The 24362-nt window shown below is 39.0% G+C and overlaps 1 protein-coding gene across 3 annotated transcripts in view, besides 1 other annotated feature; it reads right to left on the bottom strand.

Moving 5' to 3' along the window:
* Positions 5808-6355: an enhancer, noted in NCBI's record as "OCT4-NANOG-H3K27ac hESC enhancer chrX:86934749-86935296 (GRCh37/hg19 assembly coordinates)". NCBI's record gives its function as "activates a minimal SCP1, AML or CMV promoter by ChIP-STARR-seq in naive and primed H9 embryonic stem cells {active_cell/tissue: H9 hESC(naive and primed)}" and the evidence as "EXISTENCE:reporter gene assay evidence [ECO:0000049][PMID:30033119]".
* Positions 16054-24362, bottom strand: part of KLHL4 (kelch like family member 4) — a 152249-nt gene continuing 143940 nt past the window's right edge. Inside the window, exons 10-12 of one of the 3 annotated variants that reach the window (XR_938403.3) lie at positions 21169-21340; positions 19224-19629; positions 16054-16775 (exon numbers count right to left, since the gene is read on the bottom strand). Coding sequence is in view for 2 of the 3 variants with exons in the window: in NM_057162.3 (NP_476503.1) it covers positions 16710-16775; positions 21169-21340 (238 nt within the window). In the remaining variant the exon portion in view is untranslated. Of the gene's footprint in view, positions 19630-21168; positions 21341-24362 lie in introns of all 3 variants that reach the window. The other 2 variants (NM_019117.5, NM_057162.3) reach the window with 2 other exon arrangements.

Genomic DNA, 24362 nt, shown 5'->3' with positions numbered 1-24362 from the left:
GGGTGGGGCAAATCCTGGAGCTTGATGTGTAGGGAAGGGAGGGGGCCTGAATAATCCCTGAGGAGTAGTAGAATAGCAGATGGAACACTGAGAAGTTATTTCCTTGAGGATAGATTTCCATGATGGAAAGGAAATGAGAGGTTCTAAGAGGCGGGCTAGTGGCTTGTACTACAGCATAACCTGCCTTTGTTGGTGTGTGGTGATTAGGCCTGGTGGAACCGCCATCAATAAATCAAGCGTGATCAGGGTGAGGAACAGGAAAGAAGGAAATTTGGGGAAATGGGGTGAATGTCAGGTGGATCAGAGAGATACAGTCATGGGGGTCAGGTGTGGTATCAGGAATAATGTGGGAGGCCGGATTGAAGTCTGGGCCAGGAACAACGGTAATTGTGGGAGACTCAACGAAGAGTGAGTATAGCTGAAGGAGCCAGGAAGCAGAAAGTATATGCGTCAGGTATGAGGAAGAAAATAGATTTTGGAAGTTATGAGAACTGTAGAGAGTGAGTTGAGCATAGTTTGTGATTTTGAGGGCCTCTAAAGGTATTAATGCAGTGGCAGCCGCTGCACGCAGACATGAGGGCTAGGCTAAAACAGTAAGGTCAAGTTGTTTGGACAGAAAGGCTACAGGGTGTGGTCCTGGCTCTTGTGTAAGAATTCTGACCGCACTAACCATGCCTAGGAAGGAAAGGAGTTGTTGTTTTGTAGAAGGTGCTGGGGTTTGAGAGATCAGTCGGACATGATTGACAGGGAGAGCACGTGTGTTTTTATGAGAATTATGCCAAGATAGGTAACAGATGAGGAAGAAATTTGGGCTTGATTGAAGTAATGGGGGCTGTCTGTGAAGCTTTGCAGCAGTACAGCCTAGGTAATTTGCTGAGCTTGATGGGTGTCAGGGTCAGTCCAACTGAAAGTGAAGAGAGGCTGGGATTAAGGGTGCAAAGGAATAGTAAAGAAAGCATGTTTGAGATCTAGAACAGAATAATGGGTTATAGAGGCAGGTATTGAGGATAGGAGAGTATATGGGTTTGGCAGCACGGGGTGGATAGGCAAAACAATTTGGTTGATAAGGCGCAGATCCTGAACTAACTTGTAAGGCTTGTCTGGTTTTAGGACAGGTAAAATGGGGGAATTGTAAGGAGAGTTTATAGGCTTTAAAAGGCCATGCTGTAGCAGGCAAGTGATAACAGGCTTTAATCTTTTTAAAGCGTGCTGCGGGATGGGATATTGGCACTGAGTGGGGTAAGGGTGATTAGGTTTTAATGAGATGGTAAGGGGTGCATGATCGGTCGCCAAGGAGGGAGTAGAGGTATCTTATACTTGTGGGTTAAGGTTGGGGGATACAAGAGGAGGATGCAAAGGAGGCTTTGGATTGGGAAGAAGGGCAGCAATGAGATATAGCTGTAGTCCAGGAATAGTCAGGAAAGCAGATGATTTAGTTAAAGTGTCTCAGCCTAATAAGGGAACTGGGCAGGTGGGGATAACTAAAAAGGAGTGCTTAAAAGAGTATTGTCTAAGTTGGCACCAGAGTTGGGGAGTTTTAAGAGGTTTAGAAGGCTGGCCGTCAATACCCACAACAGTTATAGAGGCAAGGGAAACAGGCCCTTGAAAAGAAGGTAATGTGGAGTGGGTAGCCTCCGTATTGATTAAGAAGGGGACGGGCTTACCTTCCACTGTGAGAGTTACCGGAAACTCGGAGTCTGTGATGGTCTAGGGGGCTTCCGAGGTGATCGGGCAGTGTCAGTCTTCAGCCGCTAAGCCGAGAAGATCTGGGAAGGAGTCAGTCAGAGAGCCCTGGGCCAGAGTTCCAGGAGCTCTGGGAGTGGCTGTCAGGTGAGTTGAACAGTCCGATTTTCACTGGGGTCCCACACAGATGGGACGCGGCTTAGGAGGAATCCCGGGCTGTGGGCATTCCTTGGCCCAGTGGCCAGATTTCCGGCACGTGTAGCAAGCTCCTGAGGGAGGAGGTTCTGGAGGAAGGCCTGGCTGCTGCGGTTCAGGCGTTTGGAAGTTCTTGTGTGCTGGAGACGTGGCTGGGGTTTGTCTCACAGTGGAGGCAAGGAATTGCAACTTTTTTCTGTTATTGTACACCTTGAAGGTGAGGTTAATTAAATCCTGTTGTGGGGTTTGAGGGCCAGATTCCAATTTTTGGAGTTTTATTTAATGTCGGGAGCAGATCGGGTAATAAAGTGTATATTGAGAATAAGATGGCCTTTTGACCTTTTAGGGTCTAGGGCTGTAAAGTGTCTCAGGGTTGCTGCCGAACGAGCCATGAACTGGGCTGGGTTTTTATATTTGATAAAAAAGAGCCTAAATGCTTCTGATTTGGGATAAAGAAAAAGGAGCATTAACCTTGACTATGCCTTTGGCTCCAGCCACCTTTTTAAGAGTCAATTGCTGGGCAGGTTGGGGAGGGCTAGTCAGGGAACGAAACTGTAAGCCGGCAAGGTGTGAGGAGGGGAGGTGATAAAAAGATTATAGGGTGGAGGAGCAGAGGCTGAGGAAGAATTGGGACCTAGCTCGGCCTGGAGAGGAGAAGCCTGGGGAGGAAGGCAGAGGTCAGATGGGTCTGTAGAAAAGGAAGATTAGAAAGACTCAGCGACGCTTGGGGTTGGTACTGAGGGGAGAGGCGGGAGGGAAAGAAGGAAGATTTGGGACGAGTTGCACTGGGCACAGAGACTAGGAAGGGACTGATGTGTAAAAGAATGCCTGGACATCAGGCACCTCAGACCGTTTGCCTATTTTACGACAAGAATTATTTAGATCTTGCAGGATGGAAAAATTCAAAGTGCCATTTTCTGGCTATTTGGAACTACTGTCGAGTTTGTATTGGGGTCAAGCAGCATTGCAGAAGAAAATAAGGCATTTAGGTTTTAGGTCAGGTGTGAGTTGAAGAGGTTTTAAGTTTTTGAGAACACAGGCCAAGGGAGTAGACTGAGGAATGGAGGGTGGAAGTTTCCCATAGTGAAGGAAGCAAGCCTAGAGAAAAGAGAGAGTAGAGAAATGGAGGGAAGGGGTTTGGGGGTTCTTACCTTCCAGAAAAGGGGTTGGGGTGCAGAGATAAGAGGTTGGGGCATGGAAATAAGGGATTGGGGCACAGAGATACGAGGTTGGGGCATGGAAATAAGGGATTGGAGTGCAGAGATACGAGGTTGGGGCGCAGAAATAAGGGATTGGGGCACAGAGATATAAGAGGTTGGGGTGCAGAAATAAGGGATTGGGGCACAGAGATATGAGGTTGGGGTACTTGCCCCTCCCCCAGAAAAGCAGGACTTGCTGCTAAGGGTGAAGGAGAAGGGGTTGATGGTTACTTGCCCCTCTCCCAGAAAAGCAGAGAAGGGGTAGAGACAAGGAGAGAAGGGGTTGGGGTACTCACCCTGTTCCTGGAAAAGCAGAGAAGGGGTAGAGACAAGGAGAGAAGGGGTTGGGGTACTCGCCCTGTCCCTGGAAAAGCAGAGAAGGGGTAGAGACAAGGAGAGAAGGGGTTGGGGTACTTGCCCCTTCCCCAGAAAAGCGGGACTTGCCGCTAAGGGTGAAGGACCAAGGCAGGCATCCCTGTGTGGTCTGACACCCTTGAAACATGGGTGTATAATCAGAGAGGCGTCCCTGCAATGATTAAACACCAAGGGAAGGCTGCCTTCCCAGTCCGTGACCGGCGCCAGAGTTCCGGGTCCATGGATAAAACGTGTCTCCTTTGTCACTATCAGAAAATGAAAGGAATTGAAATTAAGAGAAGGGAGAGATTGAAGTGTGGTGCAAGATTGAAAGGAGAAAGAGCTTGAGGGATAGTGAGGGAGGTAGGAGAAGAGAGTAAAAAGAGGTCGCTTACCGGATTTGAAATTGATGAGATGTTTCTTGGGCTGGTCGGTCTGAGGACCTGAGGTCATAGATGGATCTTTCTCATGGAGCAGAGAGCAGGAGGATGGGGGATTTATCTCCCAAGGGAGGTCCCCCTATCCGAGTCACGGCACCAAATTTCATGCGCATCCATGTGAAGAGACCACCAAACAGGCTTTGTGTGAGCAATAAAGCTCTTTATTTCACCTGGGTGCAGGTGGGCTGAGTCCGAAAAGAGAGTCAGCGAAGGGAGATAAGGGTGGGGCCGTTTTTTAGGATTTGGGTAGGTAAAGGAAAATTACAGTCAAAGGGGGTTTGTTCTCTGGCGGGCAGGAGTGGGGGTCGCAAGGTACTCAGTGGGGGTGCTTTTTGAGCCAGGATGAGCCAGGAAAAGGACTTTTACAAGGTAATGTCATCACTTAAGGCAAGGACCGGCCATTTACACTTCTTTTGTGGTGGAATGTCATCAGTTAAGGTGGGGCAGGGCATATTCACTTCTTTTGTGATTCTTCAGTTACTTCAGGCCATCTGGGCATATATGTGCAGTCACAGGGGATGCAATGGCTTGGCTTGGGCTCAGAGGCCTGACAGTGACCTTTGCCCGATGTTGGTGCCGTGCTTTTGAACTTCTCTACCTCCTGTACTGTGATCCAAATAAACTTCTGTTCTTTATAAATTACCTAGTCTCTGGTATTCTATTCTGGCAGCAGAAAATGTACTAAGACATAAAATTAGTACTCAAAAGTGGGGCTGTTGCTATAACAAATACCTGAAAATGTGGAAGTGACTTTCAAATTGGATAATGGGGAGATTTTGGAAGAATTTGGAGAAGTAGTCAAGAAAAAATCTGTATTACTATAACTCCAAAGGTTCTTGCCTTAGCCACGCCAAAGATATGTGGCGGCAGCCCGCGGTGAGAGACAGACACGGATTGGACCAAGAGAAAAAAGCTGTAGTTTTATTGAGCAGAGTGACAGTACAAAGCTCCCACAGCATGGAAGGGGTCCCGAGCGGGTAGCCAGTGTTAGATTTTTCGATCACCTTTTCAACTCTTTGAGGCGGGAACTACCTGCAGTGGGAAGATGTTACCAGAGCGAGAAACAAAGACAATTAACATGTCTCAGATCTTGAGGAAAACCGGAATTGCAACTTAAGTTTTATCTACTTTATAACCTTGCAGCGGCATGGCAAAGGAGACAGGATCTCACAGGATTTTACAAATTGTGTTACAAGGAACTGGAATTGGGAGCATAGATAAGGTCTGCTGGTCACAGAAAAACGGGCTTTTAACATTTCTTTTAGTTTCAGGGGATGGGGAAGGGAGAGAGGGAGAGAGGACACAGGGAAGCTTACAGCAAAAGTTTCGCTGTTTATAGCTTTCTTGGGGAAGAAAACACATGCACAAATTCTGATGTTAGGAATATTTTAAGCATATATCTTCAATAGTATTCATCCAGGACCAAAGTAAGCCCTGATCCAGGAAATGAGTGAGTTTCACAGCTTTCTGAGCCGCTACTCCACCCAGGAGGCCCAGCTGGCACCTCCTCTCATTACCATGAATGAAGCATTAAAGGCAATTTTAGTTAGGGTTCAGAAGAAGAGGGGAGGTGTAGGGAAAGTCTGGAACTTCTTAGAGATTACTTAAGTGATTTTGACCGGAAATCTGGTAGAAATATAGATAATAAAGGCCATTCTAAAGAGGTATCATATGAAAATGAGGAACAAAGTATTGGAAACTAAAGTAAAGGCCATCCTTGTTATATAGTAGCAAAGACTTTGGTTGAATTGTATTCATGTCCTAGGACTTTATGGAATACAAAATGTAACCATGAACTAGAATATCTGCCAGAAGAAATATATAAGCAGTGAAGCATTAAGGCAGCTATGTGACTACTTTTAACCACATACAGTGAGATGTGAGACAAAAGGAATAACTTAAAGATGTCATTTATAATTAAGTAGGAAGCAGAGCAGAAAGATTTGGAAAATTCACAGCCTGGTCAAGTAAAAAGTGAAAAAGTATATTTGAAAGAGAATATTCAGGGTGTGGACAAGGAACCAAACCCTTTGCTAAAGAGATTAACATGAATAGAAAGAAGCCAGGTGTTATTTAGCAAAACAATGGGAGAAAGATCCTAAAGGCATTTCAAAGATCTTTGATGCTTCTCCTCCCATCACAGGCCCAAAGTTCTAGAACAAAAGAATGGTTTGGGAGGATGGGCCTGGAGCATCCTCCACAGGTTCACTGCCCAGAGCCACCTTGGGACTCTGCTCCTTACATTCCAGTACAGTGTTCCTTGGCTACCCAAGCTGTGTCTTAAATGGGCTCAGGTGTGGCTAAACTACTTCTCTGGAAGACACAAGCAGTAATCCTTAGCAGCCTCTCACTCATTCGACTCTACATGAGTGAGAAGTAAATATCTAATATTGTAAGCCAGCTAGGTTTTAACTTTTTTTTTTTTTTAATTAACATAGCCTTGGGCCAGGCGTGCTGGCCTACGCCTGCAGCCCCAACACTTTGGGAAGCCAAGGCTCTGCCTGATCACATGAGGTCAGGAGTTCAAGAGCAGTCTGGCCAACATGGCAAACTCCCATCTCTACTAAACATACAAAAATTAGCTGGGCATGGTGGCATGCACCTGTAATCCCAGCTACTCAGGAGGCTGAGGCAGGAGAATCATTTGAACCCTAGAGATGGAGGTTACAGCCAGCTGAGATTGCGCCACTGCACTCCAGCCTGGGTGACAGAGCGAGACTCCATCTCAAAACAAAAAACCAGAAAACATAGCCTTGTTTGGCCTATCCTAATGACTGTAAATATTGTTACAATGTCATCTTCTAGTGGCTAATAGACCAGATTCTTTGAATTACTTGCACATACTATACTATACTGTTTTCTCCCCCAGAGCATCTCTGTAATTCTAGATAGTAATTCTACAGTCTTGCAGAATGCAAGAGCTGTTAGGGCATGGCTATCTCCACCAAGATTTCAAAGGATTTTGCAGATAGCCTGGGGGGTCAGGGGGCCCAGGAAAAGACTTGTCGTAGGGGTGTAGTTGCTGCAAAGATCCCTTACTCTCTGCAGCATACATGTTACAGGGGCAAAGACCACTGCAGAGAGCCCCTACTATCATGGACTAGGGAAGTCATGGGAATGGGCCATCCCAAAGACCCCAGAATTGTAGCACCACCTGTGTGCAACTCCAGTCCTCCAGCCTGGGAAAGCTGCAGGCATGAGACTCCAAGTTTTGAAAGTTTATGGGTGGACCGAGCTCAGAAAAACAATAAGGGCAGGGCTGCCCAAGGCTTCAAGTGCCCAGCACTCCCAGTGTGACCAGGGTGCTTGGCATGGATTCAAATGAGATTATTCTGAAACTTTAGACTTTTGAGTTGGTGCTTTTAAAAAGTATTTTGGACTTGTTGGGATGGAATGAGTATACTTTGTATATGAGAAGGACATGTATTTTGGGAGCCAGGGGTGGAATGCTATGGTTTGAATGTAACCTACAAAGTTCATGTGTTAGAAACTTGATTGCAATTTTTAAAAATTTAACTTTTGTTTTAAGTTTGGGGTACATGTGCAGGTTTGTTATATGGATCAACTTTGTGTCATGGAGATTTGTTGTTTACCTCCTACTTATAAGTGAGAACATGTAGTATTTGGTTTTCTGTTCCTGAATTAGTTTGCTAAGGATAATAGCCTCCAGCTCCATTAATGTCCCTGAAAAGGACATGATCTTGTTCATTTCATGGCTGCGTCGGTATATGTACCACATTTTCTTTATCCAGTTTGTCACTGATGGGCACTTAGGCTGATTCCACGTCTTCGCTATCGTGAATAGTTCTGCAATGAACATGCATGTGTATGTGTCTTTATAATAGAACGATTCTTTTTCTTTGGAGTATATACACAGTAATGGGATTGCTGTGTCAAGCGGTAGTTCTTAGCCCTTTGAGGAGTTGTCACACTGCTTTCCACAATGGCTGAACTAATTTACACTCCCAACAAAAGTGTATACGCATTTCTTTTTCTTTGCAACCTTGCCAGCATCTGTTATTTTTTGACTTTTTATAATAGCCATTCTGAATGATGTGAGATGGCATCTCATTGTGGTTTTGATTTGCATTTCTCTGATGATCAATGATGTTGAGCTTTTTTCATATGATTGTTGGCTACCTGTATATTTTCTTTTGAAAAATGTATGTTTATGTCCTTTGACCCCTTTTTAATGGGGTTGTTTGTTTCTTTCTTGTAAATTTATTTAAGTTCCTAATAGATGCTGGATATAAGACCTCTGTTGTATGCATAATTAGTGAATACTTACTCCCATTCTGTAGCTTGTCTTTTTACTCTGTTGATGGTTTCTTTTTCTGTGCATAACTCTTTAGCTTAATGAGGTCCTATTTGTCATGTTTTGTTTTTGTTGTAACTGCTTTTAGAGTCTTCGTCATAAAATATTTGCCTGTTCCTATGTCCAGAATGGTATTACCTAGGTTATCTTCCAGGGTTTTTATAGTTTTGGATTTTACATTTGTGATGGTTAATACTGAGTGTCAACTTGATTGGACTGAAGAATGCAAAGTATTGTTCCTGGGTGTGTCTGTGATAGTGTTGCCAAAGGAGATTAACATTTAAGTCAGTGGACTGGGAGAGGCAGACCCACCCTCAATCTGGGTGGGCACCATCTAATCAGCTGCCAGAGTGGCTAGAATAAAGTGGGCAGAACAAAAGTGGAATGAAGAGACTTGCTGATTCTTCCAGTCTTCATCTTTCTCCCGTGCTGGATACTTCCTGCTCTCAAACAACAGACTCCAAGTACTTCAGCCTTTGGACTCTTGGACTTAACACCAGCGGTTTGCCAGGGGCTCTTGGGCCTTTGGCCACAGACTGAAGGCCACACCGTTGGCTTCCTTACTTTTAAGGTTTTGGGACTTGGACTGGTTTCCTTGCTCCTCAGCCTGCAGGTGACCTATTGTGGGACTTCACCTTATGATCGTGTGAGTCAGTTCTCCTAATAAACTCCCCTTCATACACACACACATCATATTTGTTCTGTCCCTTTAGAGAACCCTGACTAATAAAACATTTAAGTCTTTAAACCATCTTGAGTTAATTTTTGTTTATGGTGTAAGAAAGGGGTCTAGTTTCAATCTTCTGCATATGGCTAGCCAGTTATCCAAGCACTGTTTATTGAACAGGCAATTTTTTCCCCATTGCTTGTGTTTGTCAGGTTGTTGAAGATCAGATAGTTGTAGGTGTGCAGCCTTATTTCTGGGTTCTCTATTCTGTTCCATTGGTCTATGTGTCTGTTTTGTACCACTACCATACTATTTTGGTTACTGTAGCCCAGTAGTATAGTTTGAAGTCTGGTAGTGTGATGCCTCCAGCTTTGTTCTTTTTGCTTAGAATTACCTTGGATTTTGTGGGATATGATGAGGTTTCTCTTCAAATAGCCTGATCAATCTTTTAATTCATGGTATCCCCCCTATTTTCCCCCCCTTTTTCTCCTTTTTCCTTTCTGCCTTTATTAGATGCCCAGGCATGCCACAGTACCAGGCGTTATCAGTACCAGCTCACATTCCTTTCCTTACTTGGAAAGAAGACTAACTTTCTAGCTCACTACAGACACCCCTTCCCCTTTCTCTCTCTTTCTTTTATGTGCCCACCTTATCTAAAAACATTCAAATGTTTAGCCAACCGGGATTAGTTTAGATTGTAAGACCCAATCCCGGCCAATGGGGAAAGTGTACTGGGGCAGGACTTGCGCCAGGAATAAAGGCTCTCATGCCCCTTGTTCAAGTGTGCTCTCATGGCGACTGGCCAAGAAGGCACCCCTTTGCGCAGAAGTAAAATTGCTTTGCTAAGAATCCTTTGTTCGAGTGTTCAATTTCCTTAGGATTTTGAGCATTATTCCTAACAATATTTAGGCTCTTATTTTGTTCCATATGAATTTTAAAATAGTTTTTTCTATGATACTGATTTTTCATGTCTATGAGCATGGAGTGCTTTTCCGTTTGTTTGTTTCATCTTTGATTTCTTTGAGCTGTGTTTTGTAGATCTCCTTGTAGAGATCTTTCACCTTCCTAGTTAGCTGTATTCCTACATACTTTATTCTCTTTTTTTGGCAATTGTGAATGGAAGTTCATTCCTGCTTTGGCTCTTGGCTTAGTGTTGTTGGTGTATAGGAATGCTAGCGATTTTTGCACATTGATTTTGTATCCTGAGACTTGCTGAAGTTGTTTATCAGCTTAAGAAGCTTTTGAGCTGAGACTAAGGGGTTCTCTAGATACAGGATCCTGTCATTTGTAAACTGGGATAGTTTGACTTCCTCTCATTCTGTTTGCATGCCTTTTATTTATTTCTCTTGCCTGATTGCCCTTGACAGGACTTCCAATATACTATGTTGAATAGAAGTGGTGAGAGAGGGCATCCTTATCTTGTGCTGGTTTTCAAGGGGAATGATTCCAGCTTTTGCCTATTCAGCATGATGTTGGCTGTGGGTTTTTCATAGATGGCTCTTGTTATTTTGAGGTATGTTTTTTAAATACCTAGTTTTTTTGAGAGTTTTTAACATGAAGCAGTGTCGATTTTTATCAAAAGCTTTTTCTGCATCTATTGAGATAATTAAGTGGTTTTTGTCTTTAGTTCTGTTTATGTGATAAAGCACATTTATTGATTTGTGTATGTTGAACCAACCTTGCATCCCAAACTACAAGAGGTACAGAGGTACTGCCACCTGAATTTGCTCCATCAGAGAGGAATGACAGAGGTGGCTAAACCTCAGAGGGGATGGTTAAGGATTGTATACAGGGAAACTAGAAACTTGAGAGTATAATTTTATTTACTCCGAGTAGAAATTTATCTACCTTTTAGAAAATAAAGAAATATAATGTGACTTTATGGAATAAGAATTGTACCTACTACACACGTGCAATTACTTATTTGTGATTTTTCAATTCATGACAAAAAATTTAGTTATTTTTTTCTGTTAAGATTTATAGGTTTTGTCTAACTTATTCCTCAGAAAATAGACTACTAGATATTAAAAACTTACACCACTATGTATGTGTTAACATTTTGCCATACTTTTTTAAGTCTTTCTTTTGTAAAAGAGCCAACCACTACCATGAGGGTAATGTGCATCCTTCAAGTCAATTGTTTTCTACTTTTACATACACATATGGTGAGTTTTAAAAATTCACAAAAGTGGAATCATAGTGTCTTATCTGTTTTAACAAACAACCTATTCTATCTGGTTATTCAGTGTGCTCTGTTTCTGTCATGACATCTACAGAAAGGTAAAGGCCTCCTCATCTGCTTGCCAACTTTATGTTTCCTTCCATATCCTCTGCATTAGCCACATAATTTTTACCTCCACAAGACCATCCTGCAGGTCCATTGGTAGTTTCCATGCCTCTTTTAGTAATCCATGAACTCATGAACACTTATGTACCCGATTTATGGTCATGGCAGACACAGGTTATCTTCAGCCCTTTTGGACCTAGACATACTACATAGTTATTTCTGATTTACAACTACTTCATGGTATTGAAACTTGCTATCTTTGCAGGTATCATCTTTGAAAAGAAGGTGGTGTACATATTCCCTCTTCTGGGATCCTTAGCCCTATCTGGGGCTTCTATTTGCTCCTAGGAGTGAGTTGAAGAAAGTGGGTACATGGCAAACGTCTCCACACACCCAACATTCACTCATGTCTTTCTTGCTTTATTATCAACTTTCTGCCCAAGAGTCTTTCCCTCCAAGCCCGTGGTATCTTTATCCAGTCTTAGTGGGGAACCAGGAAAAATCTTCTGACTTAACACACCCTCCTGTTAAATATTTTTTTCTTATACCATAATTAGTGATCTTTGAATTTATGATGTAAGATTTTAGTCTTACAACTCCTGAGTAGGGCTATAATGGGCCAGATTAGAGATGGTTACAGGATAAGAATAAATTCAGAGAAATAAAGAACACCCCAGATAATATGTCAATTCATTACACTATTATACAAGCAAAAGCAAAAAAGTGTATCTTCCTTCTAACAAAATTGGAGCATGTTTGGCATAGATGTCTGAGTTAACAAGTCCGGCTAATGAGAAAAAAAAGTTAGCATTTAAGGATTTGGCCTAAGACTCCCAGAAAAATTAGAAAAAGAACATCTGGGCCAGACACAGTGGCTCATGCCTGTAATCCCAGCACTTTGGGAGGCTAAGGCGGGTGGATTACCAGAGCCCAAGAGTTCTAGACCAGCCTGGGACTGGTCTAGATGTGGGACCCCATCTCCACAAAAGATAAAAATAAAACAATTATCTGGGCATGGTGGTGCCACGCCTATAGTTCCAGCTGCTTGGGAGGCAGATGCAGAAGGATTTCTTGAGCCTGGGAGGTCGAGCCTGCAGTGAGCCATGATGCCACGATTGCACCACTGCACTCCAGCCTGGGTGACAGAGTGAGATCCTGTTTCAAAACAAAACAACAACAACAACAACAAAAAATAAAGAAAGAAAAGAAAAAATATCCTTGGGGTTGCAATGTGAGACATGGTACAATTTTTACTTTTTCATATTTTTACTTAAATATAAATTCCTACAGCATAATATTCATCCACTGAAATTTTAGAATCCATGTTTTGAAAATTATATTCATAGAGTTGTGTAACCATAACCACAATCTTAGTTTAGAACATTTTCATTACCATGAAAAGAAACCCCATAAACCTAAATAGTCACTCATTTCCTATTTCCTGCCAGCCCTCATCTCCAGCCCTAGCAAACCATTAATCTACTTTAAGTCTCTATAGATTTTCCTATTCTGAACATTAATATAAATAGTATCATAAAATATTGGGCCTTAGAAACCAAACCCTTGCCAAGCAAAGCTGTGGGGACAGGACCATCACGCGAGAGAGTCTAAAAGGTGGGAACCCTTGCTCCAGTGGATCCAGAAGGTTAGACGTCTGCCCCAGTGTGTATTGATGTTGGTACCTCCAACCCTGTTGGGCCTGGAGGGCAGAGCATCTAGCCAAAGAGGTTTATTCCTGAGCCTTAAAATCTTATGGAGTTTCCCTTATAGTTTGAACTTATGACCTGTCACTCCTGTTTTTCTTTCCTACTTCTCCATAGCAGAATGGGACTCTCTCCTATGCCTGTCCCATTGTTATATTTTTATAAGCAAATTAACATGTTTGGTTTCATAGGTTCACAGCTGAAGGCAAATTTGCTGTACAATAAGTCATACCTTACCGGGCATGGTGGCTTATGCCTGCAATCCTAGCACTTTGGGAGGCCGAGGTGGGGGAATCACGAGGTCAGGAGCTCAAGACCAGCCTGGCCAACATGGTTGAAACCCCGTCTCTACTAAAAGTACAAAAGTTAGCCTGGCATGGTGGCAGTGAGCTGAGATCATGCCACTGCACTCCAGCCTGGGTGAAAGATCGAGACTCTGTCTCAAAAAAAAAAGAATAAGTCATACCTTGAGTCTCACCCATATCTGATTTAGATATTTAGATGAAACATGGGAATTTAGGCTTTTGAGTTGATTCTGGAAACAGTTAAGAGTTTTGGGACTGTTGGAATGGATTAATGTATTTTGCATATGAGAAGGACATGATTTGGGGGGATTAAGGAGGTGAATGTTATGGACCGAATGTTTGTGCCCCTCCAAATTCCTATGTTGAGACTGTTCCCACCCCCAACACGATGATATTGGAAGGTGAGGCCTTTGGAGGGTAATTAGGATTAAATGAGAGCAGAACCCTCATGAATGGGATTAATAAATTTCTAAGAATCTTGAAAGAATGTCCTTTCTGCTCTTCACTTTGTGAAGATACAAAGAGAAATTGGCAGTCTAAAACACAAAATAAATTTCTGTTGCTTATAAACTAACCTATCTATGGTATTTTTGGTATGGAAGCCCAAGCTAAGACAGTGTCTGTTCAGGTTGTTTGTTTTATTATTGTTGATTTCCATGTATATTTTGGATAACTGTCCTTTATCAGACACGCCTTTCGCAAATATTTGTTCCCAGTCTGCGGCTTCTCCTTTCATTCTCTTGACAGTGTATTTTACACAGCAAAGTTTTTGAGTTCAATGAACTTCAACTTATCAAGTCTTTCTTTCATAGACTATGTCTTTAATGTTGTATCTAAAAAGTTATTACCAAACCCAAGGTGATCTAAAGTTTCTCCTATGTTATCTTTTAGGAGATTTTAGGTTTACACTTTACATTTAGATCTGTGATCAAATTTAAATTAATTTTTATGAAGAGTGTAATGTCTGTCTAGATTCATTTTTTAAATATGGATGTCTCGTTTTCCAGCACCATTTGTTGAAAAGCCCATCTTTTTTCCATTGTGTTGCCTTTGGTCCTTGGTCAAAGATCAGTTAACTATATTTATGTGGGTCTATTTATAAGGTGTCCATTCTGTCCCATTGATCTATTTGTCCGCTATTTTGCCAATTTCACACTCTCTTGATTACTGTAGCTTTATAGTAAGTTGTAGTTGGGTTGTGCCAGTCCTCCAATTTTGTTCTTTAATTTCGTGTTGACTATTTTGGGTATTTTGCTTCTCCATATAAACTTTAGTCAGTTTTGCAAGATCAATGTGCTTTTAAATGTGAAGAATCTCAAATGTGACCATCTCGTTCTATCTTCTACTCCTCTTTTTTTTATATATTTCCCATTATTAAACGTTTTGTGCTGTACTCTGTGTAGTGTACTCAGGCTTTCCCTCCAGTTTATTATCTTCTTATTTGTGCGTCATCTGCTACTTTACCTCCCCAGTGAATTTTTAAGTATTTAAAGTGTCCATTTCTGGATGTTCCTGGCTTTCTTCACCTAGGAGAAGTCTCAAGACCATGTCTCAAGACCAAGTCTCAAGACCTTAATGATTCTTGTCTACACATTGGTATTAAAATCTTTGCCCTTGGTGGTTATAACTAAGTTCATTAACTCCAAGATGATCTCTATTACCATCTGAGTTTATTATTGTTTTCTAAGTTCCCTCTGATTTCTAGCATCTAAAGATTTGCCTTTATTTCTATGGAGTGTAGCTATGTACCTAAATTTTGTGTTATCTCATCTCTCTGTGTTTTTAATGTGTGTATATATTTGTGGATAGAATCAGAGAGACAGACCTCTGCCTTTACTTATTTGGCCATGTTTCCAGTGCTGTTATTTGAATCCCATTCTCATAAAATACCCGGTCTTTGACGCCATCAAAAATCTATTCATTCATTTTTTCCACAATTATTTACTGAATACCAATTTTGTATTAGAATCTGGACAGACACTGGGGATACTATAATGAATAAAACTAAAATTCATGTGAGAGATTATAGTTTAGAGGAGGAGAATTGTCTGTGTCTACTGGCTCAGATGTTCTCTCAATTGGGCAACTCACTATGCATTGGATTAGCCAGGATGGTTCTATGAATTCATATGAACTTGCTCAGCCTGACTGGCTTTTCAGCCTCATCTCATTATGTAGACTTGACAAAATTGAAATAAGTCTAAGTGGTTTTGTGAAGATATGACTTTCAAAGATCTCCATATGATATTATCTTTCAGCTTTATTTTAAAATAAGACTAATTGTGATTTGATGGCCAGAATTCATGTGTTCCCATTCTGGTAAGATATAATTAGCTCTGGTCAAGTTAGGCTTTTTTAACCACCCAGCTATAAACTGAATTTAACATATGAAACAGGGCTATTTAAAGGAAGGTCTCCATGGCCTTAGATGAAATGTAAATTTGGCAAACTCAGGTGGCTTTTGTGTAGGCGAGGCCATTTAATTCTGATTCTCCATCACTTAAAATATAATCCAAATTTTATAGGCTTGGATTTGGTACAAATTTCATAAACTTAGTTTTAATTAGTGTATATCACTAGGGTCCTAAACACAGTAGATCTTTAATAGATGTTTATGTCAAGGGGCTAATATCTGAAAAATACTAATGTGCTTTTATTTTTTAATATTTACCCATTTATAACCTTCCCCATATTTAGCTATATGTACCCATTTCCCTCATTGTTTACATGTGCTCTGTGTGTGTGTGTGTGTGTGTGTTTCTGTGTGTGTGTGTTAAGGGAGGGGATTAGGATTATGAGAGAAAAAAAGATAGTGTCAATATTAAACACTTAGCACCATGAGCAGGACTTTTTCCTAGTCTGTAGCAGGCCATAATCTTAAAAAGCAAGCATTGTCAAGAGAGAAAAAGCTTTAACACTTTTATTAATATTACTATAATTCATAAATCATATATATTATGGCATACAAAATGATATTTTGGCATATGTATACAGTGTGGGATGATTAAATCAAGCTAATTAAACATATTATCACCTTACCCATAATTCACTGTGGTGAGATATTTGAAGTTTTAAAAACATTTTTAAAACTTTCCTTTGAAATATGGAGATCCATGCTTGAAAATTAGGTAGTTCATGTGATATCTTCCACAGACAAGAGGGGAGATGCTCCTTCCATCATTTAGGTTGGGACTTAGTATCTCCAGCAGTGTGGACAGGATGTAAAGAAAATTCATTACGAAGAGAAATAGCAACTGAAAAATCTCTTCTACCTCAGGTGATGTGATTGGGAGAAAGTAAACATAGAATGATGACAGTTGAGGACATTTGTGTTTCATGACCTTTTTTTTTTTTTCTTTACCTAGACTAAGATCTCAAGGTAGGAGTCTTGTTAGAGAACTTAAAATAAAATCCAGAGTCACAGGGTTTTTTTTTCTATATTGCATTTGGAACTCCAGAAGGAAACTGTCTTTCAGTGTTCCCTCCATATCAAAAAGGGGCAACAGCCACACCTGAGTCAGATTGATAAATGTCATTGCTGTGTGGAGAAAGGATCTGAATTTAGTGCCCCAGAGTCTCTTTCAGCTTCTGTGTGGTATAGAAGTTTTGTAGAAGTTCTTGCATGCTCTGTGGAAATACAGGAAGGTGACAGACAGTGTTAGAGAATCATCATGATGCATGCTGAGAGTTGCAGAGTAGGGAATCGTGAACACGGTCATAGTGATTATAGAAAAAAATCAAGAAGCAACATTGTCTTTCAGATCTGAGTACAGTAAATGTGTGAGCCCTTACACTCTTGTAAGAATATATAAATAACATCCTTTCCTATACACATTTGTTTAAACTAGCCCTGATAAGTTATCTCTGCTAAAGCATGTCAGAAAGGGCCTGCTCTTACTCCTCCTTTTCCCAATTAAGTTTGACTGAGACAAGCACAGTTATGTTTGAGTGCCCTGGGCCTCTGCAGGTCTCTATTCTGATGGCTCATATCTGCTCAGATTTTGGCAGCTCATCTAGGGCATTGTCTTAGTTCATTTTCTGAGGCTTAAAACAGAACCTGGGTAATTTATAAAGAAAAAGAATTAATTTCTTACAGTTAGGCAGGCTGAGAAGTCTGAGGTTGAGAGGCCATATCTGGGATGGCCTTCTTGTTGGTAAGAGCTGTCAGGTAAGTCCCAAGGTAACACATAGCATCACATGACCAGGGGACATACGGTGCACCCTGAGCATGCTAGCTTAGGTCACTCTTCCTTCCTTTTCATATAAAGTCACCAGTCCCCCACTCATAATAATCCATTAATCCATGAATGGATTAATCCATTCAGGAGGGCACAGACCTCATGGCCCAATCACCTCTTAAGGGCCCTGCCTCTCAGTACTGCTACATTAGGAGTTAAGTTTCAACATGAGTTTTCGAGGGAAAAAAATATTCAAACCACAGCAGCCATAGTGGCCTGAACACCATTTTTAAATGCAGCTATGAAGGGGTAGCCCCGGGAAACATACATGTCTCTTCTATGAGTCAATACTTAATCAAGTCCAGCTATGCCATTGAGAAGAGAGTATTCAACTTTCACTTTCCTCTTGTCCATGCATGACTCTAGACACAGTCTGCCTATTGGTAGCACCTCGTTGTTACTGGAAGATTGGCAAGCTAGGCTGCAAAAGGTCCTTTGATCTTTTCCACTGGTTGACACCCACATTTAACTTAACAGGCCAAGCTGTGCATTGGCGATAAAGGTTTAGGTAACTCTACTTCTACACTGATTTCAATAAGGTGTGAATTCAAAAGACCTAACAGGGCTGTATGTGTGTTTCACAGCCTCTCTATGTCTCTATCTTCACCTCTAGAACTGCAGAAATCTATAGCTCTCTCTTTAGAATTAGAGACAATGGCAGGTGTAAGAAGAAATAAAGGAGTGGAATTTTATTTTTGTGTTTAAGTATTTTAGTGATATAGGAAATGTAAAATCAAAAAGTCCATTCAGGTTGTACTTGATATATTCTAAAGCCACACTATAGTGAGAGGAAATAAAGTTTATTTAAATTCAGTTTGTCAAAGTACAAATATCTTTGTACAACTTACGTTCTTCTTTCTTAAAACTTAAAAGCTAGTAGTATATTTTATAAGCATTTCTCCAGATTTTGATTTCACAATCCACAATAAAAAGACTGTTTAAAAGAACTTATTTGTAGAAATTCTAAAGTTGTGCATTTACTTGAAAAGTTACTTTCACAAAGGGTTTTTCAATATTTCATCTTAGTTGTATAATTAAACAGAATAAATGGAAGAATTACACATAAAATACTATTCAACTAGCCATTTTTGTTATTTTAAAACTTAACAAGTCTTTTTTTTTTTTTATATAGCACACATATCCTAACATTTTCTACTGGATAATATAACAGTAACAGAAAAGCATGTGTTGGTACAAAAAAGATAACTATAGAATTGACCAGGCTTATTGAATATTTTGGTGTTCCCATGTGTTAACACTGAGTAACATCCTCAATTTTAAGGTACTTTAAAAATTGTTTTGTTTTTGAAAACTTGTTTAACTTAACGATATTTGTTTATAGAGTTAACATAAATGTTTGAGGAGAACATTACATTCTATACAAGTGAGGCCCTGACACTCTGAAGCTGAGGTCACAGTTTGTATCAATATGATAAATATTCATTATTTCATTGTATAGACTGTGTATATGAAATTACAGTAATATTTTACTGGTAACAAATCTAACAAGATAATATGTTAAGAAATACCAAATTTATATGTGTGCTCTGGCAGATGAGCAAACCTGTAAAAATTTTGACATACCGCGATCAACATAACAAGTTTTGTCAAAGAGCCATTATTTTTTTAGCTTCAACACAGTAAAAGCTTTCCTCTTGGTAAATGTAAGGAATTGTTTAGCTCTTTGGGATATTATTTGAATAGGAGAATAATGGCTTACTAAAAATCACACTATTCTAAGCTTTAGATGTTACCTTTTATATTTCTATGTTCCAGATAATAAGAGTACGTTTTTTAAAAAAAAACTGAAAATGTTTTTAACTTTTAAGGCTCTTACCTTGAAATGTATTAATGCTTTTATAACCTGCACACTGTGGCCACCATCAATTTTCATTAAATATTTTAGCATTTTGTAGTAATGGGGCTATATCTAGACTGTGGGATTTCCTTTTATATTATCAGCTGCGAAAGCACATATGCTTAATAATTCATATGTAATTCATGTTTAAAAACGTTTCGGCTTCACGAATGAAAGCAATTGTAACTACAAATTAAAATGATACAACAATTTTCCAGTCTGATTATTAATTGCAGGAAAAAGAACATGTATTTCTTTCTCCCTTTGTCCTACTCAGTTTCTTGAAATTATCTAGTTTCATTCCATTTGATAAAGATAGATAGCTTTAGGGTAGCTTCACCACTACAACACATGCACCAGCTCTTCCAATGTTAACAGGAACTTCCTAAAACACAAAATAAGAAACAAAACACTGTTGGAACTCTGATTTCAGCATAATATAAAATATTATATTCAATATAGTTGAAGAAGTCCTTACTTAATTTGGTCTAACATCACCTTGTCTAAAGATGAGATAATCTGCAGCCTAGAAAACAGTGTAGTGTGCTGGAAAAAACATAGCCTTTAGAATGGTAAAAACCTGAGTTTGAGGATCAGGTGATCTTAAGTAAATTTCATCTCTCTGATAATATTCTCACTTGAAAAATTACACCAAATTATACTAACACGTCAAGGTTTTTGTGATGATTGAGTGAAATAATGAATGACAATTTGCACTTAGTAGTTATAATCCCACCATCTGTTAGTTCTCTTTCACTCTTTTCAAGATCACACGATGAAACAGTGACACAGCCAAAAATATAATCCAGGACTCTTAGCTACTTGTCTACAATCTTCAGAAAAATAAATCCCGTAAGCTGGTCAAACATCTTGATTATTGTATTTGTCCTAACACCTTGCATGATATTTTTTTTCCTTCGATTTCTGGTTGGTCCTAAGCATTGACAAAACAGCAGCTACCTACATTGTAGCATTTGAGGGTTTCTGAGTCTTAATGAATCAGATTATTGGAGGAGAGAGATTAAAATCTCATTATCAGCTGTCATTATATTAGCACCAATTTATTTAGAGCAATAGATAGCTGTACCCTGTAGAATATAGAGTAGCATGAAGTCAGTAGAAAGGAAGATGAAGTTAGGTACCAAATACAAGGTTTGCCTTTTTGTGGAGATGGTAAAGAGTTAATCATACTTTATATTTTTTGTTAACTCATCATTTAATTGACAAAGTATTAAATATTTTAGAATAAATCTAGGGCTATCACTGGCAAAGCAGTCAAAAGGGTCAAATTTGCCTTTAACATCTCAAAGATGCCATTTCAATGCTATTTTTTGTACTCTCTTTGAAATTAGTTCTAATAGATGCCCAGCACTTTTGAGAGGTTTTAATTCTGGTCCCTTATTGTTTACTAAATTATTGACTGACTGAAGAATTTAGGAGTATTGCAGTCTACACAGTCTCTATATGGTAAAGATTGAAGGCTTGTCTCCTAGGTGCCAGCCAATAAAAAGGGCAGATATTTGCGGAAGAAGATGCTGCCCTTTGGTTCTCAGGTCACAACATATACATAAAAAGTTGGCCATGGTAAAATGCTTTATTTTATTTATTTATTACTGAAGTATTTTATTGGATTCGCTTATTTTCTTTAAAGGGAATGCTTTCATGAAGTCACGAGAATGGTCTGTCCCCTTTTATATAAGATGGGTTATAAGTTGATGGGTCCTGCTATCAACTATCATGTCATATCATATCAACTAGATCAACTTGTAATTCTCTAAGGCATAGATAGAGCACATACTATAAATTTCACTAAAAGATCTTGTTAGGGCCTAGAGAAGAGAATACAACTAATTTCAAAAATATAATTTAATATCTTCTTTTTAAAACCTGAAATATAGTAATTTGAATATTTTAATTCGAATACCTCTTTCCATTCATTTCTCTGTGCATCATATGACTCAACTGTGTTCAAATAAGTATGTCCGTCATATCCTCCAACCACGTAGAGTTTGTCTCCAAGAGGGCACACAGCAACAGCATCTCGAGGAACACTCAGAGGTGCCACAGTTGACCATGAATCACCTTTTGGATCATACCTTAAAGGATTTAGAAAGATAATTGGGAGGAAAAGTCCAATAGAGTTACAACTGAAAATAACAGACATTCTTAAAATGTATACCTATCTGAAACATAGGATTAAAAACACTATACAAATATCAAATGTAGATTGGATAATATTAAGGATATGTACGTGACAAAATTACCTTCAGCCACTAGGTGTCTCTCAAAGCATATTGAAAAAGTTTCCCTTTCCAAGATACCATGCACTTCATTAATCAGTGCTCAGATAAACTTTGAGGAAATTTCACATATTGTGATCCTGGCATTATATAAAAAAGTCTCCTCTCATTTAGTAGTCTGATTGAAGGGCTTTTGTTTTTCTTTTATTATTTATTTGTCGAAGTTATACATAAGATGCCTGATCCATTTTATATGAGAACTCATATTTTAAAGTAAACCTGAATATAATTGCCTTTCTATTTTTGCTGTATGAAATGTAGTACTTTGGTTTTAATACTATTTGCAGATAGAATGGTCATAGACTTATCCTGTGTTTTTCCCTGCTGAGAGTTCTTATTTATCTTCAGTGGAGTCAAGGTTTATTGTTTTCTATTTTAATCTGAAGTTAACTCCTTATCCCCAAACCTCTTTAGTAAGCAAAATGAAAAATAATTCAGTAAGTAATATTAACATATTTTCTAGAAATTCTTTCCTAACCTTTGAAGCTTATTTTTAAAAATATATAACACTAAAATCTAAAAGGTGAACAATGAAGAAAACTCATAAAATTACACACAAAAATGCTCCCTGACTTTATATTGGCCTATTTGTAAAAGCCTAATGAAATATATTTATTTTACAAAGAAGATTTTCATTTATCACTTTCCACTGATATATTTGTATTACCCCCTCTGACCACTGTTTGTATCTCTTTAATGATATTCTAAATCATCTGATTTCAGTTTCCATCTGAAATTGCTCTCACATCTACAATTTTAAAAATATTATCTGAAATCAGCAATAACTCAGACAACTTAAATTCTATATCATTGAGTGTCATGTAGCATATCACTTTAAATTCAGATGTTATGGTAAAAGTCAGAGCCAGAAAATTCATAGCTGCATGCTCTGGCTAAGCCAAATCTTCAAAACAATTGCTATTGTTAATTGATGCTTCACTCAGCTGACAGTCAGGGTACACACACAGATGAATCATGAACCAAAACTCATAGAAGGATTTCCTCATAAATTTGCATCCAAAGACCCAAGACTTTTCTGCATGGGCATAGTACTAATGCTCAAAATCTGGCTAACATTATTATTATCTGGATACTGCTTGATTAAGAAGAGGAGTTTGGGGAATGTTGACTCTTTTGAAGAAAAACTAATTGGTAATATGGTTATCATCTGTAAAGATACACAGGAGCAGTTATAAAAGACAAAAGTAGTCACCGCATATTCAAATTAAAATAGCATTACTTCTCTTTCTTGTTTCTCTTTTGCTTTTCTGTCTCCCCTTACTTTGAATGTAAGTATGTATATTCTAGTGGAAATGAAATTGAGCCTGAAGTCAAGAGAATGAGTCATGGTCTTATTTTCCCACATAGAGTAACTAGGAATCATTTGCTTGATTTATTTGCCTCAATTTTCTCATTAACATTATAGTAATAGTGATCCCTGACCCAACCAATGTGATGGTTTTAGAAGACTTTAATTTGAATTATTATCATAAGTAATTGGGTATGCCAAAAGTGTTTTAGCAAAAAAAAAAAAAAAGCATCAGAAAAATTGTTCAAGACATGGAAATGAGGATTATCTGATTCCGTAGAGGGTGGATGGACCTTTAAGTGGCTTTTTTTTTTTTTTTTTGAGACGGAGTCTCGCTCTGTCTCCCAGGCTGGAGTGCAGTGGCGCGATCTGGGCTCACTACAAGCTCCGCCTCCTGGGTTCACGCCATTCTCCTGCCTCAGCCTCCCAAGTAGCTGGGACTACAGGCGCCCGCCACCACGACCGGCTAATTTTTTTGTATTTTTAGTAGAGACGGGGTTTCACCGTGTTAGCCAGGATGGTCTGGATCTCCTGACCTCGTGATCCGCCCGCCTCAGCCTCCCAAAGTGCTGGGATTATAGGTGTGAGCCACTGCGCCCAGCCCCTTTAAGTGACTTTCTACTGACAAGCCTGTTTTACAACTTTGCGTGTGTGGAAGTTAAGTTGTAAAAAGCTGAGTTTCCTTGTGATTTTTTTCTATAACTATACAAATTCATTTTGCCTGATAGAAATAGAATTGATTTCCACAATGTAGAAATACTGACTCCCAAAGATTAACTTTTATTGTTCTATATGATTTCAACTACTTTTGCATCTATTGAGAAATTATTTCAGCATTCAAAGTTGTCTAAGTACCTTTTATTCAAATACCCTTTTGAACTTGTTTTAACATCTTATAATTGTTTTCTTCATCTATGAATCACATAAAATGTTTAACACATGTTCATTTTATATTTTTTAATTTTTTAATTGATATATATTTGTACACATTTATGGGGTACATGTGATATTTTGTTACATATATAAAACGTGTCATTTTATATTTGTGTGAATGCCATGATTTTAACTTTTTGAAAATTATATTTTAGCACTGGTCATTTTCTCAATGCCTTTTCAAGGAAAATGACAATAATAGCGTAATAATAGGTGATAATGTTAGTAATAAAAATAATACGAATTATAGCAATAATACTAAAATAAAACAACCATACTCACTTAGTCACTCCTATTGAGTAATTAACATATGACAAGCAATGTTGTAAGTGCATTACCACATTTTATCTTGTACCCTACGCGGTTGATACTATTATTATTCCCACTTTACACATGACGAAACTGATGTTTAGAGATGTAAAGTAACTGGGTCAAGGTCACATAATTAATAAACAGTAGATTTAAAGTTTGAACTCAGATCTATCTGACATCTAATCTGATGTGTTTAACTACTATACTATGCATTTGTTTAGTATGTGTAAAGTTCTCGTTTTTCTCTTTTTAAAAAAATTTTAA

This window comes from Homo sapiens, chromosome X (assembly GCF_000001405.40).
Source record: "Homo sapiens chromosome X, GRCh38.p14 Primary Assembly".
NCBI lineage: Eukaryota > Metazoa > Chordata > Mammalia > Primates > Hominidae > Homo > Homo sapiens.
Note: the sequence above shows the minus strand (reverse complement) of the source record. Positions and strands in the feature narration are given on the sequence as shown.